The 17,881-nt window shown below is 50.2% G+C and overlaps 1 protein-coding gene across 3 annotated transcripts in view, besides 4 other annotated features; it reads left to right on the top strand.

The window, feature by feature from the left end:
- Positions 1–17,881, top strand: part of LOC400499 (putative uncharacterized protein) — a 155,563-nt gene that overhangs the window by 29,576 nt on the left and 108,106 nt on the right. For all 3 annotated transcript variants that reach the window (NM_001395505.1, NM_001370704.1, XM_047434105.1), the window contains exons 11-16: positions 3,242–3,427; positions 4,206–4,358; positions 6,157–6,301; positions 9,135–9,293; positions 10,616–10,740; positions 12,929–13,123. In NM_001395505.1, coding sequence (NP_001382434.1) covers positions 3,242–3,427; positions 4,206–4,358; positions 6,157–6,301; positions 9,135–9,293; positions 10,616–10,740; positions 12,929–13,123 — 963 coding nt within the window. The remainder of the gene's footprint in view (positions 1–3,241; positions 3,428–4,205; positions 4,359–6,156; positions 6,302–9,134; positions 9,294–10,615; positions 10,741–12,928; positions 13,124–17,881) is intronic.
- Positions 335–629: an enhancer, noted in NCBI's record as "tiled region #8116; HepG2 Activating DNase unmatched - State 1:Tss". NCBI's record gives its function as "activates a minimal TATA promoter and a strong SV40 promoter by Sharpr-MPRA in HepG2 cells {active_cell/tissue: HepG2}" and the evidence as "EXISTENCE:reporter gene assay evidence [ECO:0000049][PMID:27701403]".
- Positions 335–656: a biological region, named in NCBI's record as "Sharpr-MPRA regulatory region 8116".
- Positions 607–656: an enhancer, noted in NCBI's record as "active region_10446". NCBI's record gives its function as "activates an Ori minimal core promoter by ATAC-STARR-seq in GM12878 lymphoblastoid cells {active_cell/tissue: GM12878}" and the evidence as "EXISTENCE:reporter gene assay evidence [ECO:0000049][PMID:35858748]".
- Positions 2,835–3,831: an enhancer, noted in NCBI's record as "H3K27ac-H3K4me1 hESC enhancer chr16:11588027-11589023 (GRCh37/hg19 assembly coordinates)". NCBI's record gives its function as "activates a minimal SCP1, AML or CMV promoter by ChIP-STARR-seq in naive H9 embryonic stem cells {active_cell/tissue: H9 hESC(naive)}" and the evidence as "EXISTENCE:reporter gene assay evidence [ECO:0000049][PMID:30033119]".

Here is a 17,881-nt window from a genome sequence, read left to right as displayed (position 1 = left end):
TGAAATCAGCTTAATAAGGGTCACAGGTTTGAGGGTAATTTTATTTTTCCATCTTTAAAAATGAAAAAGTGAGTATTTTAAACAGACTTCTAACTGAAGTGTAAGTAAGCCTTCGTTAGAGATTTTTGCATTAAGATTGTTTTCTTCTCCTCCCATTTTTTTTTTAAATTTATTTCCCTTTCAAAATTGTTTGTTCTTCTCTTTGCGATGTGGTTTCTGGTTTTTGTGAAAACAGGGAAGGCTGGCCCTTCTGGGTTCATCCCCCGGGCAGCCATACACAGAACCAACTGGGTCATTACTGTGTGGACTGCTCAGCACCCAGGCCTCATGCTGGCCCAGTTGTCCTGGCAGGGCCACCGGAAGTGGCTCACAGATCTGGGCTCTCTGCCAGCCAAGTGGCACCAGCCTGCCCCACAGCCCTGCAGGCTGTGACCAGGCTTCTGGCTCCAGCTTTGGTCTGGGACAGGCCCGAGCCTGCCCTGTCTGTGCCCCCGCCGCCTTTCTTGGGCAAAGCAGTCAGAGGCGGGAACCTCCAGCAGGCGGCCCCTCCCATGTGCCGGAGAGCTTCTTAGTCTTTTTATAACCCCTGCCCTCCCAGCCAAGCCCGCTTGCCCTGCTCTGTATTAAGAAAACAGACAGCTTTGTTTTCTTTGCTCAAATATAGGGAAACATTGAATGTGCTTTTTCCAGGCTCCACACACCCCTGTCCTTTCACAAAGAAAATATGCAGTGAGATGCACACGCCAAGACCCACACGCATGCATCCTGAGCGCACGTGTACACACATGGGACACAACCCACACACACTGAAGCAGGCACCCATTGCACTGGGACGTGCACACGCACACTGGATCATGTGTACATGCACAGACCTGCACGTACACTGACACAGGCTCACACCAAGGCACAGGGACACACAAACACACAGGGATATGCACACACATGCTGGATCACGTGTACACACACAGACCTACACACACTGTTGCAGGCTCACACTGAGGCAGGCTTTCCCAGGACACCCACATGGGGAAATGCACGGACACACACCCACACCATAGACCTGTCAAGACACACACACACACACACACACACACACACACACACACACACACATTGAGGCATACACGCCAAGACTCACGTACCTGGAGATGCAGATATACACCCCAGTGTATGCACATGTGAAGACATGGCAGGACATGCACATACACACAGTAGGACACTCACCCAGTGGGACGTGTGGAGACAGCCACCCACACCTGGACACATGCATAGGCACACCAAGACACACTGGGCTGTGCGTGGGCACACAAGGGACACACAGTACACACACACGCACCTGGACGCATGGGCACATGCACACATCCAATGGGACACACGAGATGCCCACATGGGGACACGTGTGCACAGGCATCCACCAGGAAATACACGCATACTAGGGTACTCGAGTGCGCTGAGACACCTGCACACCCAAGTGGGAACGTACACACCCACAAGCACTAGGATTCTACAGCACACACCAATATGCACACACACAGATGCTTATGTTCACACCTTCACACAGTGTGCTCACACCCTAGCGTAGTAACACAGATCTGGTGAAGAGTCACGAATCCAGAGAAAGAACAGAGCTGGGCAGCTCGGGCGTGGTGGCTCACTCCTGTAATCCCAGCACTTTGGGAGGCTGAGGTGGGCAGATCACCTGAGGTCAGGAGTTCGAGACCAGCCTGGCCAATATGGTGAAACCCCATCTCTACTAAAAATACAAAAATTAGCCAGGCGTGGTGGCAGACATCTGTAATCCCAGCTACTCAGGAAGATGAGGCAGGAGAATCACTTGATCTCAGGAGGCAGAGGTTGCAGTGAGCTGAGATTGTGCCACTGGACTCCAGCCTGGGTGACAAGAGCAAGACTCCATCTCGAGAAAAAAAAAAAAAGGACAGAGCTAGGCAGAGATTTTATTTCTCCACAGCTGCCAAGCAGTCCCTGTTCTGGAGTGACGTGGGTCTAGCACAGAGGCCCCTGTTCACAGCCAGGGCCCCAGGGCTGGATTTTAGAGTGAGCCCAGAATTTGCATTTTGAGAAGCCGTGAGTGTTGGTATCATGCCTGGCCTGGGAGCCAGCCTCTCCTGGGTTAAGTCTCAGTTCTATCTATAGCTGTGGGCTACCTGAGGCACGTCCCTTACCCTTTCTGTGTCTCAGCTTCCTGTGTCTCAGCTTCCTGCTCTGCAAAATGGGAATGATAAGAAAGGCAACGTGTGTGACATGTTATCAGCAGTCTGGCTTGTAGTGAACACAGTTTGTTTACTAAGATTTGTTGGTCTAGACTAGGCACGGTGGCTCATGCCTGTAATCCCAGCACTTTGGGAGACCGAGGCGGGCAGATCACTTGAGGTCAGGGGTTCACCACCAGCCTGGCCAACATGGTGAAACCCGGCTTTACTAAAAATAGAAAAATGAGCCAAGGGTGGTGGCACGTGTCTGTAATCTCAGCTACGTGGGAGGCTGAGGCAGGGGAATCACATGAACCCAGGAGGTGGAGGTTGCAGTGGGCCTAGATAGGGCCACTGCACTCCAGGATGAATGAGAGAGCAAGACTCCATCTTAAAAAAAAAAAAAAAGATTTGTTGGTCTGATTTCTCTGAGGTGCCTGGGGCAGGGAGCAGCTGTGTCCTGAACCCCCTCCTGTTTGCCTTCCTTTCACTGAAGCCCTGGAGTGAGGGTAGCTGGGCGTCTGAGTCGTGGGCCACATGGAGTGCCTTTTTTGTTTTGTTTTCTTTTTTTTTTTTTTTTTTGGAGACAGAGTTTCGCTCTGCCACCCAGGGTGCAGTGCAGTGGTACAATCTCAGCTCACTGCAGCCTCTGCTTCCCGGGTTCAAGGGATTCTTGTGCCTTAGCCTCCCGAGTAGTTGGGATTACAGGCACACACCACCATGCTCGGCTAATTTTTGTGTTTTTAGTAGAGACGGGGTTTTGCCATGTTGGCCAGGCTGGTCTCGAACTCCTGACCTCAGGTGATCCACCTGCCTTGGCCTCCCAAAGTGCTGGGATTACAGGCATGAGCCACCGTGTCTGGCCTCTGGGGTGCTTTTAAAATGTTCCCTGAAAAGAGCAATTTGTTCAGACTCTGGGGGACTCAGCTCTGTATTATGAAGTTGCCCAGGTGAGTCGGTGTGTGGCCAGGGTGAGGCCTGTGAAGTGCATTTACCCACCACCTCGGGTGGGGGCCGATTTCTGTCCCCAGCCACTGCTCCAGACCCCGAGGGCCAGCCCTGGCGCCTTCCTGGGCATCTCAGCCCTGGTGCACAACCTCTGTGCTTCTCTGGACGGGCCCTGCGGCCAGCTGCCTGGAGTCGGCTCCCTAGTGAGGATCCTGGGAGACGCCTTGGGTGAGAACTGTACCATCCAGGAGCCCTCGGATGATGACAAGGTGAGGACATCCAGTGTCCTGAGTACCGGCTTCAGTGCCCCCAGTGGGGCCGAAGCGAATCAGGCAAGCTCCAGGTGGAGAGGGTGGGGGTGGGTTCCCCCCTTTGCCCCTTCCTCCTATCCCTCATTCCCCCTTCCCCACTTCAACCCGTCTCCTCACCCTCCTGCCTGCCCCCCCACGCCACTGCCCCTTCTATACCACTGCCCCCCCCACACCACTGCCCCCCAACACCACTGAGTGGGGGTGGGGTGAAGGGGGGAAGGGGGAATGGGCTGAGATGCCCAGGAAGGCGCCAGGCTGGCCCGCGGGGTCTGGAGCGTGGCTGGGGACAGAAATTGGCCCCTACCCCGAGAAGGTGGGTAAATGCCCTTCACAGCCCACCCCCCACACCACTGCCTATCCCATGCCACTGCCCCCGCCCAGGCCACTGCCTCCCCCCACGCCACTGCCCCCTCCCCCACGCCACTGCCCCTCCCCACGCCACTGCCCCGCCCCTCACGCCACTGCCCCGCCCCCCACGCCACTGCCCCGCCCCCCACGCCACTGCCCCGCCCCCCACGCCACTGCCCCGCCCCCCACGCCACTGCCCCGCCCCCCACGCCACTGCCCCGCCCCCCACGCCACTGCCCCGCCCCCCACGCCACTGCCCCGCCCCCCACGCCACTGCCCCGCCCCCCACGCCACTGCCCCGCCCCCCACGCCACTGCCCCGCCCCCCACGCCACTGCCCCGCCCCCCACGCCACTGCCCCTCATGGTCCTACCTCCATCTCGATTTAGCTCCAGCTTGTGCTGAAGGCAGTCGGCAACGCGGGCTTGGCAGCCATGGCTCTCACCCCTACGTTGAGTGCCTGTGCATCTCTGAGAAGCAGCACACCCGAGATCCGGCTGGGGGCCATCCAGGCCTTCCGAAGGGTCCCCTGCTCTGCAGACGTGAGCCCTTGTGTGCTGTTTCATGGGGTTGGGGTTGGGTGGTGGTGGGTCTCGAACCACAGTTTGCTAATTCACTTATTCAGTTGTTCATTCATCATGTATTTAATGAGCACCTACTGTGGGCTGGGTACTAGTGTGAACAGGTATCCAGGTCTAAGCCTGTGTGTAGTGTGGGAAGCAGATTATTTATCAAAAACACAACCATATGATTACCAGTGCCATCTGTGCCCCCTCTAGTACAGGGTTTGGCAGACTACGGGCCATGGGCCACTACCTGGCCCTTGGTCTGTTTTTCTCAATAAAGTTTTATCGGAACACAGGCATGCCCACTCACTTAGGTGTTATCTATGGCTGCTTTCCTGCTCCACCTGCAGAGTCAAGTCATTGCAAGAGACCGCATGGCCTGCAGAGTCTAAAAGAGTTCTCTGTCCCTTTACAGAAAAAGTTTGCTAATCCCTGGACCACTACCTCCCTTCTTACTCAGAGTCAAAGTTACAGTCCCTTCATTGACTTCCCAGGCCCTGAGGGATCTGACCTCTGGGCCTCACCTGCTCCTGTCACCTCCCATCCCTCCTCCCCAGCACATTGCCCTTTCTGTTCTTCCTCAAACACTTGTGACCCTCTCTTGCCCCAGGCCCTTTGCACATGCTCTTTCCTGGTACACTTTTCCTCCAGATGTCCCCAGGCCTTTCTTTTTCACATCCTGTACGTCTTAGCTTAAAAGGCACTTTCACTGTGAGGTCTCCCTTGACAATTTCACCTGAAATTGAACCTCCCAGGTCCCCCTGGCTCTGGTCCTGTTTCCCCATTTCATTTTCCCTTCCTTAGGGTTTATTACCACCTAACTTTTTTTTTTTTTGAGACGGAGTCTCACTCTGTCACCCAGGCTGGAGTGCGGTGTCACCATCTCCGCTCACTGCAAGCTCTGCCTCCTGGGTTCACGCCATTCTCCTGCCTCAGCCTCCTGAGTAGGTGGGACTACAGGTGCCCGCCACCACGCCCGGCTAATTTTTTTGTAATTTTAGTAGAGATGGGGTTTCACCGTGTTAGCCAGGATGGTCTCGATCTCCTGACCTCATGATCCTCCCAGCTCGGCTTCCCAAAAGTGCTGTGATTACAGGCATGAGCCACCGCGCCCGGCCACCACCTAACTTTTTATGTATTTCACATGCTAATCTCATTGACTGTCTCCCTGCACTAGGATACCAGCTTCAGGTGGACAGGGGCTGAGTTGGTCTTGTTTATGGCTGTCACCTAGCACAGTGCTGAGTGCATAGTTGTTGCTTATGTTAATATTTGTTGCATGGATGGATGGGTGGGTGGATGGATGATGGGTGGGTGGATGGGTGAATGGATAGATGGGTGGGTGGGTGGGTGGCTGGCTGGCTGGCTGGCTGTGGAGGAAGCCAATAGGTATTGAGGGAGTCACAATGTGGGGAGGTGAATTGCTTAGGAATTGCCTAGGAAGGCCAAGACATTTAAAGGCCTCCTGTGTGGCGAGACACTATGCTGTTTTCGTAAATAGTTTTATTGGAACGTAGCCATGCCCATTTGTTGGGGAATTGATGAGGCTCTAGGCTGGGGCTGGTAGAGACTGGGAATTAGGCAAGGTCAGTGAACCCCTGCTACCTCCCACAGCTGCGCCACAGGTGAGTGTGTGTCGGGGAAGCCTCCCGCAGTAGGGGCATCAGGACAGCTGGGGCTAGGCAGCAGGTCCACCTGCTGCAGCCAGGGACATCATACTCCTGGGTGGAGGTAGGTAGGCCTTGGGTGATGGCTTTCCTTCTGCCCAAGCCAGAGATCGGTGCTCTCCCGTCTATACCAATCCCTGGAGGAGGATGCTGAGATCCGTATCAATGCCTACCTGGCCCTGATGAGATGCCCCAGTGAGGAGGTGTTTGCCCAGGTGCGGCGCACCCAGGCAGGCGAGCTCTCCACCCAGGGTGAGCCATGGGTGTGTGTGTGGGAGGGGTGTGGGCAGGGGTGGGGCTGGGAGGGCACCTCCTGAAGAGTGCAGGGGATTTGAGAGCATCCTCTCCCTCCACCCCTTTGGTATTCTGCTGTGTTCTTGTTCCCCTGTTTCTCTACCACACTGTCTAGATAAGGGGCTATGTATTCTCCCCTCCCCCACATGGCAATTCCAGTCCCCATTCTGCCATTGGATGACTTTGGAGAAGTTGCTTCTCCTCTCTGGTCCTCAGTTTCCTCATCTGTAAAATAGGATGGGAATCAGTGAGGCCTCTTTTAGCTCTGGCCAGATCACGACACAGTATCCTAAAGAGAGACCTAAGATAGAAGAGGGATGGCGTCGGCAAATCTAGATCCCTTCTGGAGTGAGACAATTCCCTTTATACAGGCACCTGAACGCAAAGATGTAAATTCAAAAAAATAAGTTCAACTGATTGTTGAAAAATTTTCCATAATGCACAGTGGGGTGAGAGCCTGGAGCCTGAGAACCCAGGTTCAAATCCCAGCTTCACCTCTTCCTTCCTGTATGCCTTTAGACAAGTAAGTAAACCTTTGTGAGCCTCCATTTCTGTACCTGTAAAATAGGGATAATGCTAGTACCTCCCTCATAGAGTGTTGTGAGCATAAAATGAGTTAATACACAAAGACATTTAGAAAGCATAGTAAGTGCCATATGTGTGACTGTTGCTTTTAATGTTGTTATCACTACTGCTATTATTATTAATGCAGTGTAGCTGTATAGTCAAAATTTTAAAGCATAGGCAAGGGACAAATGGAAAATTAGTCTTCCTTCCTCTTCCCCCCAGTATTTTCCTATGTCCTGAAGATACACACTGTGAACAGTTCTCCTGTGTATTACATCAGAACTTGTAATACATAGGTAAACATACACACGTATCTCCTTAACAATAGCCTCTCAGGATCATGTTCTACTTGCTGTTGTGCTCTTGGCTTTTTTGTTTTGTTTTGTTTTTTGAGACGGAGTCTCGCTCTGTCACCCAGCCTGGAGTGCAGTGGTGTGATCTTGGCTCACTGCAAGCTCTGCCTCCCGGGTTCATGCCATTCTCCTTCCTCAGCCTCCCAAGTAGCTAGGACTACAGGTGGCCACCACCTCGCCCAGCTAATTTTTTGTATTCTTTTAGTAGAGACGGGGTTTCACCACATTAGCCAGGATTGTCTCAATCTCCTGACCTCATGATCTGCCCGCCTCAGCCTCCCAAAGTGCTGGGATTACAGGTGTGAGCCACTGCGCCCGGACTTTTTTTTTTTTTTTTTTTTTCGAGACAGAGTCTCACTCTGTTGCCCAGGCTGGAGTGCAATGGCACAGTTGTGGCTCACTGCAACCTCTGCCTTCTGGGTTCAGGCAATTCCCCTGACTCAGCCTCTTGAGTAGCTGGGATTACAGCTGCACACCACCATGCCCGGCTAATTTTTGTATTCTTTTAGTAGAGATGGTTTTGCCATGTGGGCCAGGCTGGTCTCGAACTCCTGACCTCAGGTGATCCATCCACCTCAGCCTCCCAAAGTGCTTGAGATGACAGGGATGAGCCACTGGGTCCAGCCTGCTGCTTGCTTTTTGTCTTTAGCATGTCTAGGAGCTTGTCTCTCATCTATAGCTCTTGTGGACTCTGATCTGTGGCTGTGTGGGTGTTCCGCCAGAAGTTTGTACTATAACCCATTTTACCCGTCTCCACTGATAGGCCTTTAGGCTGTTTCTGGTCTTTTGCCGTTAGAAGCAACAACCACAAACCTACCTGCACAGCTACCTTTGGCCCTTGAGTTAATCTCACTTTAGGATAATTTCCCAGAAGATAAGTTGCCATGGTAAAGGGTGTGTACATTTAAAAGTCTGATGTGACGTTGCTGAATTACATTCTGAAGAGATGGCACTATTGGAAGATACACCTCTCTGCCTTGGCAGTTTCAGGCATGGGGTGTGATGTGTGCTAAACCCCTCCTCAGGGGATCAGCTGAGGGGCTCAGCCTCCACAGTGGCCCTGGGGTACCACCTGATATATTGTCCAGTGGGAATAAGTGGGCACCTTATCCCTAAAAACCCACATTCTGCTCTATTCTGTGATAGATTGTTCCAGAAGCCCCTGACTGGACCTTCTAAGAGCCTGAGACAATGGGGGGAGGGTTGGGGGCTCCCTGTAGGACTCTAATATTCCCGTTGGATTCAGTCCCCTGAGGCTCTTATTTGATCTTTATCCCTCCAGGGACCTTCATGGGTCACATGTCACCTTTTGTTGATGCTGAAATGTGCTTAGTCTTTTTAGGTCCAGGCTCTGCTTTTAACTGATCTTCCCAAAAAGCCCTGCAAGATACTTTGTTAGTTCCTTCTTCAGATGAGAAAACTAAGGTTCCAAGAGCTGGAGTGACCATCTCAGGCCACAGTGGTACATGGTGGAACTAGGATTTGAAATCAGGTCTGACTTCTCATTTTCACTGATGAGGAAACTGAGGCTCGGAGAGGCAGAGGGACCACCCCAAGGTCACACAGGTTTTGAGCTTTGGGACTGGATTCAGACTCAGGTCTGACTTTTGAGTCCATGACACCTTCCTTTCTCTTCTGGGAAGTGTGTCAGAATTCCATACACGGGCTGGATTTCCAAGTTCTGTTCAGGCACGACTTGTTGGCTGCTGTTTGAGAGAAGACGTAGGTCTCTGTAGCCAGACTCCTGAGAAGCCCCCGTGCGTGGGAATTGCAGGACTGGGATGGGGGTCGGGAGGGTCTTTTCTCTGGACAGCGCCAGCTCCTGGCCCTTTCCTCACGGCCCCTCCCTGCTGCCCACGACTCTATTCCAGTGGGTTCTTTTGTGTGGAGTCACATCCTGCAGCTGCTGGAGACGCACGACCCCCTGAAACGGGCCCTCCGGGACACCCTCCCCGAGGACATCCTCAGCCAGGAGTTCCACCCAGAAATGTGGAAACACTCGTCCTATTCTGATGTCACCTTCCGATCAGGTATGGCCATCCTGGGCAGCCCCTGTCCTGCTCTGGAACCACAAAGGCTGGGGGACCCTGGAGCTCCAGCTCTTGAGAGCATGTGGATCAGACGTTGTGTCAAGGGGTCAAATATTTACATGTCAGTTGGGTGTGGTGGCTGAAACCTGTAATCCCAGCACTTTGGGAGGCTGAGGCAGGAGGATTGCTTGAGCCCAGGAGGTCAAGTCTGCAGTGAGTCATGATTGCACCACTGCACTCCAGCGTGGGTGACAGAGTAAACCCTGTCTCAAAAAAAACAAAACAAACAAACAACAACAACAAAAAACTTACATGCTGCTTGTTCAAAAATATTTTTGGAATATTTTCATAGCACCTGCTGCTTTTTTTGGAAGACAGAAGTCATATCAGTTATTTTATGGCATTCAGCTGAATACTTACATCTTTTCTCTAAATTGGCTGTTTGTACCTTATATTTTTGTTAAAGAGGAAATTGTCTATCACTACCATTAATAGAAAATCACCTTAACTCTCTGTAAAGAGAAGGTAGTCCTAAAAAGGAGTACTGTACACCAAGAGGCGGGTAACGAAACACTGATTTTTTTTTTTTTTTGACATGGACTATCGCCCTATTGCCCAGGCTGGAGTACAGTGGCACAATCTTGTCTCACTGCAACCTCTGCCTCCAGGGTTCAAGTGATTCTTCTACCTCAGCCTCCCGAGTAGCTGGGACTACAGGCGCGCACCACCATGCCCGGCTAATTTTTGTATTTTTATTAGTGGAGATGGGGTTTCACCATGCTGGCCAGGCTCCTCTCGAACCCCTGGCCTTAAGTGATTTGCCTACCTCGGCCTCCCAAAGCTGAGATTACAGGCATGAGCCACTGTGCCTGGCGGAAACACTGTTTTATTAAATTCTCCTGGATTCTGTGGCTTGCTGAGGGCTGTGAATTGTGAGAAGTGTTTTTTCCTGTGTTAAGAAAAGAGATTAGCCCCACACTGAGACTGCCTCTTTGTTGTAATTAAACAGAAAATAAAAAAGGGAATCTCTTTCAACCTAAGGCTCCAAAACTACCTCAGCCATTCTGGGAAGCCTGGGGTTGGGGGTCGGGTGCTCTGGGCACCTCCTCTCTGCCTGTCAGCAGAAGTGGGTGTGTGTGACTCTGTGTCCTGGACTCCCTCTGTTCTTGAAAAGGCTTAAAGGCTGTTTCCCATCCTGGCCAGGGAGGGGTGGGAAGACACACCATGTATCTGGCCCTGTCTCAGGGTATGGCCCTGTGGTAATAGCCAGACCCCACTCTGTGAGTGTACAGAGTGTACTGATGTTCTTGTCTTACTCCTAGTGTCTGGCAGCCTGGGAGCCAACCTGGAGGGGACCCTTCTCTTCTCTCCTGCCTCCTTTCTTCCCCGTTCTGCCACAGTCAACCTGACCATCCACACCATGGGCCGTGCCTTCAACCTTCTGGAGGTTAGAGGGGAGCCTTGCTATAGCCTCTGCAGGGCCTCTCCTAGACTTGGGCCAAAAAATATCCCAGTCACTTACCTGTCTGTCCATCCATCCCTTGCCTCCATTGTTCAATCTCCTCCCCTAATATCTAGTCACCCACCTGCCCATAGATATGTCCATACATCTATCAATTCACCTACATGCCTCCATCACTCCATCCCTCCCTCCCTCCTTCCATCTATCCACTGACCTGCTCATCTGTCCATCCGTCCATCCACGCACATCCCTCTCATTCATCTCGTCCATCCACCCACCCACCCACCCATTATCCATTGATCCACCCACCCATCATCCATTCATCCTACCACCCACCCATGATTCATTCATCCAGCCCCCCACCCCCCCACCCATCATCCATTCATCCACCCACCCGCCCATCATCCGTTCATCCAACCACCCACCCGCCCGCCCATCATCCATTCATCCAACCACCCACCCACCCACCCATTATCCATTCATCCATCCACCCACCCACCCATTATCCATTCATCCACCCACCCATCATCTATTCATCCTACCACCCACCCATCATCCATTCATCCACCCATCCACCTACCCACCCATCATCCATTCATCCAACCCACCCACCACCCACCCACCCATCATCCATTCATCTAACCACCCACCCACCCATCCACCCATCCATCATCCATTCATCCACCCACCCATCATCTATCCACCCACCCTCCCATCATCTATCCAGCCATCATTCATTCATCTATCCAGCCATCATTCATTCATCTACCCACCCATCATCTGTCTACCCATGTACCATTCATCCATCCATCCATCCATCCATCCATCCATCCATCTATTCACTCAATCCATTTACCAAACCACACACCCACCCAGCCATCATTCATTCATCTATCCAGCCATCATTCATTCATCTACCCACCCATCATCTGTCTACCCATGTACCATTCATCCATCCATCCATCCATCCATCCCTCCATCCATCCATCTATTCACTCAATCCATTTACCAAACCACACACCCACCCACCCATCATCCATTCATCCACCCACCCATCATTTATCCGCCCACCCTCCCATCATCTATCCAGCCATCATTCATTCGTCTACCCACCCATCATCTGTCTACCCATGTATCATTCATCCATCTATCCGTCCATCCATCCATACATCCATCCATCCATACATCCATCCATCTATTCACTCAATCCATTTACCAAACCACCCACCCACCCATCCATCCATTCACTTATTCATCTGTCCACCCTCCTACCCATACATGGACATACCCACCCTCCCATCTGTCCATCTGTGTGTCCATCCAGCCCTGTAATTTCCCATCCATCTCTGTCTACCTACCTATCTATTCATCTGTTTTCCCACTCATCCATCTTTCATCCTCTGAGTCACACATCCATCTATTATCCATCCATCCACTCACCAGTCATTGCCAAGGGCTGGTCTCTGGTGACTTCTCTGAAAATGCTATCAGAGATGTCTGGATGGAAAAAGGGAAGAAAGAATAGATAGAAGGAGAGGGGTCCATAAGAAAGGAAAAGCAGATGGATGGATAGGAATAAGGATGGATAGAACAAAGGAAAGAAAAGATGGAAGGTGGAGAGGCAGATGGATGGATGGATGCGTGGGAAGGATGAAAGGATAGGTGAAGAGAGGGGTGCGCGGACGGGCAGATGGAAGACGGGAGGGACAGAAGGAAAGATCCATTTATTCACCTATCAAATTTTGAAACCCTCCCCCCCATCCAGGGGAGGTCGTGCAGGTGCCTAGTGATTGATACACGAGCCCTTGCCCTCATCCTGGATCTTTCGAGGAAGACACACATTCCAGTCTGAGTATATTGTGTGTGGGGCAGAGGAGGTGGGAAGAGAGTGACATGGGAGTTCAGGGAGGGCTTCCCACAGGTGATGACATTTGAACCAAGCCTTAAAGAATTGGCAAGAATTCTTACCGTGTGGCATCTACCAAGTAGATACAGAGAGATTGGTGGATTTCCCAAGGTTGTGTCCCCGAACCTCAGCCCAGGTGGGCACCAGGGAGCCTGGAGTGCCGTGCTCAAGCCTTCTGGGTCCTCCATTCATATCCCCAGCCTAACAGCTCATCATCACCCCTGTGACTGAATTGTTCCTCCCTGAGCCTGTGGCTTCCCTTCCCAGCTTGGGCTCCGGCTGGAAAATGCTGAGGAAATTGCTCACAGGCTGTTTGGCAGGAAGTCATTCTGGGGTCAGGAAGACGGGAGAGAGCCTGAGCCAGAGGAACCCCCAGGGCCAGAACCAGGGCCTGCACCACAGCCAGCCAGCCCCGAGTGTCCAGGAGACAGAGACAGAAGGATGAGATACCTACAGCAGAAGGTAAGGGAGGTGGCCACACCCACTGTACTCCCCCAGGCAGGCCCACCCCGCTTCATGCGTGGACTTTTGAACCTGAGACTTGGGTGTCCGTGAACTCTGACTCTGCCTCCTCCTTGCAGAATTAAGTGGCTGGTTCAAATCTGAGTAGTCCACTGGTAGCTGGCTTTATTTGGAAAAACTGTTGCTTGAAATAGATCCTATGCATGGAAAAGTCCCTAAGTTGTAAGTGTACAGCCTGCCTGTCCACCACCTCAATACACCCATGTCACCAGCACCCAGACCATCTTCAGCTCCCACCCTCCCCTTTGTACTCCTGTTCTTGTTAATACCCATCCTTAACCAGGAGTAACCACTCTTCTGACTTCTGGCAGCATCAGTTTGTTCTACTTTTTAAAAGTGAGATTTATTGAGGTCTAATTGACACACGGTGAACACTAGTACATGGTTAAGGTGTACAGTTTGATACATTCTGACCCATGTACACACTCATGAGATCATCACCATGATAAAGCTTATGAACATACCCATCACTCCCAAAAGTCTCTTCCAGATCCTTAATAATCTCTTCCTGCGGCCGGGCGTAGTGGCTCACGCCTGTAATCCCAGCACTTTGGGAGGCCGAGGCAGGCGGATCACGAGGTCAGGAGATCAAGACCATCCTGGCTTACATGGTGAAACCCTGTCTCTACTAAGAATACAAAAAATTAGCCAGGCGTGGTGGTGGGTGCCTGTAGTCCCAGGTGCTTGGGAGGCTGAGGCAGGAGAATGGTGTGAACTCGGGAGGCGGAGCTTGCAGTGAGCCGAAATCACGCCACTGCACTCCAGCCTGGGCGACAGAGCGAGAGTCTGTCTCAAAAAAAAAAAAAAAAAAAAAAAAAAAAAAAGTCCCTTCCTCCTGCTTCTCCTCTGTCCCCAGAAACTAGTGAGAGGCTTTCTGTCACCATAGACTTCTTTGCATATTCTAGAATATTATGTAAATTAGATCACACAGCATGTCCTTTTTTTTGAGACAGTCTCACTCTGTCACCCAAGCTGGAGTGCAGTGGCATGATCTTGGCTCATTGCAACCTTTGCCCCCCAGGCTCAAACAATCCTTCCACCTCAGCTTCCGGAGTAGCTGGGACTATAGGCATGTGCCATCATGCCTATCTAGTTTTTTTTTTTTTTTTAAAAGTTGTACAGACAGGGTCTCATTATGTTGCCCAGGCTGGTATCAACCTCCTGGGCTCAAGTAATCCTCCTGCCTTGGCCTCTCAAAGTGCTGGGATTACAAGTGTGAGCCACTGCGCTTGCCAACATGTCCTTTTTAAAAAAAGCATGTACTCTTTTTTGTTTGGCTTCTTTTATTCAGCATAATTATTCTGAGACTCACCCATGCTATAGGTTATAACATAGTTTCTTTCTTTTTATTGCTTAATGGTATTCCATTGTATAGATATACCACAGTTTGTTTCTCCATTCACCTGTTGATTGACATTCGAGCTGTTTCCAGGGTTTGGCTATTAAAAAGAAAGCTGCTATGAATATTTGTGTACAAGTTTTTAGGCATATGCTTTTGTTTCTCTTGAATAATTAGTAGGTGTGGCTAGATCATATGGTAGGTATATGTTTAAATTTTTCTAAAGCTGCTAAACCATTCTCCCAAGTGGTTGTACTATTTTTGCATTCCCACCAGCATTGTGTGAGAGTTTCAGTTTCTCCACATCCTCACCAACACTCGATATGGTTAGACTTTTTAATTTTAGCCATTCTAATAATGCGTTGTGGTATCTCGTGGCTTTAATTTGCATTTCCCTAATGACTAATGACATTGATAATCTTTTCATGTGCTCATTTGCTATTGTACGTCTTCTTTGGTGAAATGTACATTCAAATCTTTTGCTCATCTTATTTTGTTGGCTTGTTTTCTTATTACTGAGTTTTGAGAATTCTTTCTATACTCCAGAAACAAGTTGTTGATTTTTTCTTTTTCCTTTTTTTTTTTTTTGAGTTGAGGTCTGGTTCTGTCATGCAGGCTGGAGTGCAGTGGTGTGATCATAGCTCACTGCAACCTTGACCTGCTGGGCTCAAGTGATCTTCCAGCCTCAGCCACTTGAGTAGCTGGGACTATAGGCAGTACTGCCACACCTGGCTAAGTTTTTTTCTCTTTTTGTTGAGATGGGGTCTCACTGTGTTGCCCAGGCTGATCTTGAAGTCCTGACCTCAAGCGATCCTCCTGCCTCAGCCTCCCAAAGTGCTGGGATTACAGGTGTGACCCACCATGGCTGACCAGAAACAAGTTCTTCATCAGATATGTAACTCAGAAATATTTTCTCCCAGTCTGTGGTGTATCTTTTTGTTCTCTCAATGGTGTCTTCCAAAAAATAGCAGGAAGTCTTAATTTTCATGAAGTCAAGTTTATTAGTTTCTTTGGCTGATAGAGCTTTGACTGTTACATCTCAGAAATTTTTGCCTGATGGGATGTTACAGAGATTCTCGTAGGACCTTCTGCAGACCTGCGAGCATGCTCTCTGTTCAGCTCTCTCATCTCTGGTATCCTGTCCTGCAAAGTCCAGCTGCCAGGGACTCCCCATACCCCCAGCTCCTCAGTTCAGGGAGTCCCCTGGCTCAGCCTCCATTCCCCCTCCTTGCACCACAGCCTGGACACTGTCTCCAGGCAGGAAGTTGAGCTCATCTTGCTTGTTTACATCTCTTGGGGTTCATCGTCTTGGATTGCCTGATGTCTGTGTCTTGGGAACCATTGTTGAGCCTGTGTCATCTGGGTTACCAGCTGCTCCACGTGGGAGGTTAAACCCAGTCTTCATTACTCCTATTTGGTTGGCAGTAGAAGTCACATCCAGTTCCTTTTGTAAACTTTATATAAATGGAATCATTCACCGCATACTCTTTTTTTTAAGAGATGAAATTCTCATATGTAAAAATAACCATTTTAACGTGAGCAATTGGCCGGGCATGGTGGCTCATGTCTGTAATCCCAGCACTTTGGGAGGCCAAGGTAGGTGGATAACTTGAGCTCAAGAGTTCAAGACCAGCCGGGTCAACATAGTGATACCCTGTCTCTACTAAAGACACAAAACAATTTGCTGGGCATGGTGGTGTGCACCTGTAATACCAGATATTCTGGAGGCTGAGGCAGGAGAATCACTTAAAACCGGGAGGCAGGGGTTGCCGAGAGCCAAGATAGCACCACTGCACTCCAGCCTGAGTGACAGAGCAAGACTCCGTCTCAAAAAAATAAAAATAAAAAATAAAATAGGGCTGGGCGCGGTGGCTTATGCCTGCAATCCCAGCACTTTGGGAGGCTGAGGTGGGCAGATTGCCTGAGATGAGGAGTTCGAGACCAGCCTGGCCATCATGGTGAAACCCCGTCTCTACTGAAAATACAAAAATTAGCCAGGTGTGGTGGCAGGCGTTTATAATCCCACCTAATCAAGAGACTGAGGCAGGAGAATCGCTTTAACCCAAGAGGCAGAGGTTGCAGTGAACCAAGATTGCACCACTGCACTCTAGCTTGGGCGGCAAGAGTGAGACTTCGTCTCAAAAAAAAAAGTGAACAATTCCATGGTATTTAGTACATTCACCATGTTGTGCCACCACCACTTCTGTCTCGTTCCAGAACATTTTTATCACCCCCAAAAGAGACACTGCACCCGTGAAAGAGTCACTCCCCAGCAGCCCCTCCTCCTAGCCTCCAACAGCCACCAATTTGCTTCCTGTCTCTATGGATTTACCTCTTCTGGATATTTCATGTAAATGGAACCATATAATATGTGACCTTTGTGTCTGGCTTCTTCCTCTTAGCCTAGTGTTTTGGAAGTTCACCCACATTGTAGCGTAGCTCAGTACTCCATTCCTAACTAAGGTCAAGTCATATTTCATCGTATGGATGTACCACGTGTGTTTATCCATTCATTCACTGATGGACATTTGGGTTGTTGCTGCCTTTTGGAGACTGAATAGTGCTGCTCCTGTACTTCTTTTTGTGTCTGACTTTGGTTTAAAATTGGTGAGATTTCTCTGTCCTGTGGTGTGTACTTATAATTTGTTCCTTTTCATAGCTGCATAGTATTCCATTGTGTGAACAAACAACAATTTCTGTATCCATCAGTTGCTGGCTGTTACATACAGTGCTATGAAGACTCTTGGGCCTGCTTTCTTAGGGAACGTGTGTATTTATACCTGTCGGGCGTACACCTAGGAGTGAAATTGCTTAGTCTTAGGGTGTATATATCTTTAGCCTACTTTTTCTCTTCTTATTGTCACTTGAGTATTTTCTTACTAGAAGCTCACCATTCGCAGGTATTTTAATATTCATCCTATGGGTAGGAACCACAGTTTACATAACCATTTTCCCATTGTTGGAGTTTTAGATTATTGACAACATTTTGCTCTTATAAAATGTCATTGCCATGTACATCTGATAGTGACCAAGGTAGACGGTTGGGGCATTGGTTCGCTTGGTCACATGTTTCCTAACCACCAAGGGTGAACCCGGGGCTTGGGAACACCAGGATGAGCAGGGCAATAATCCTTGCTGTTAAAAGCATCTTGGACTAGAGCTGGGGGCAGCAAGAGACTTGAAAGAGGGAGGTCCGCTAGATATAAACAGTTTTTCTTAGAATGCACAATCCCCTTTGTCTGTTATTTTCTCACTTTTCCTAGAGACTCACATCCTGAGAAACATTCTGCATCAGTGCAGTGATGAATGGCAGCAGATACTTGGCCTCAGTGTTGGAGAGACAATAGGGAGTGGTGGGG

Source organism: Homo sapiens, chromosome 16, assembly GCF_000001405.40.
Source record: "Homo sapiens chromosome 16, GRCh38.p14 Primary Assembly".
NCBI classification, from domain to species: Eukaryota; Metazoa; Chordata; class Mammalia; order Primates; family Hominidae; genus Homo; species Homo sapiens.
This window is presented reverse-complemented; position numbering and strand designations above follow the sequence as displayed.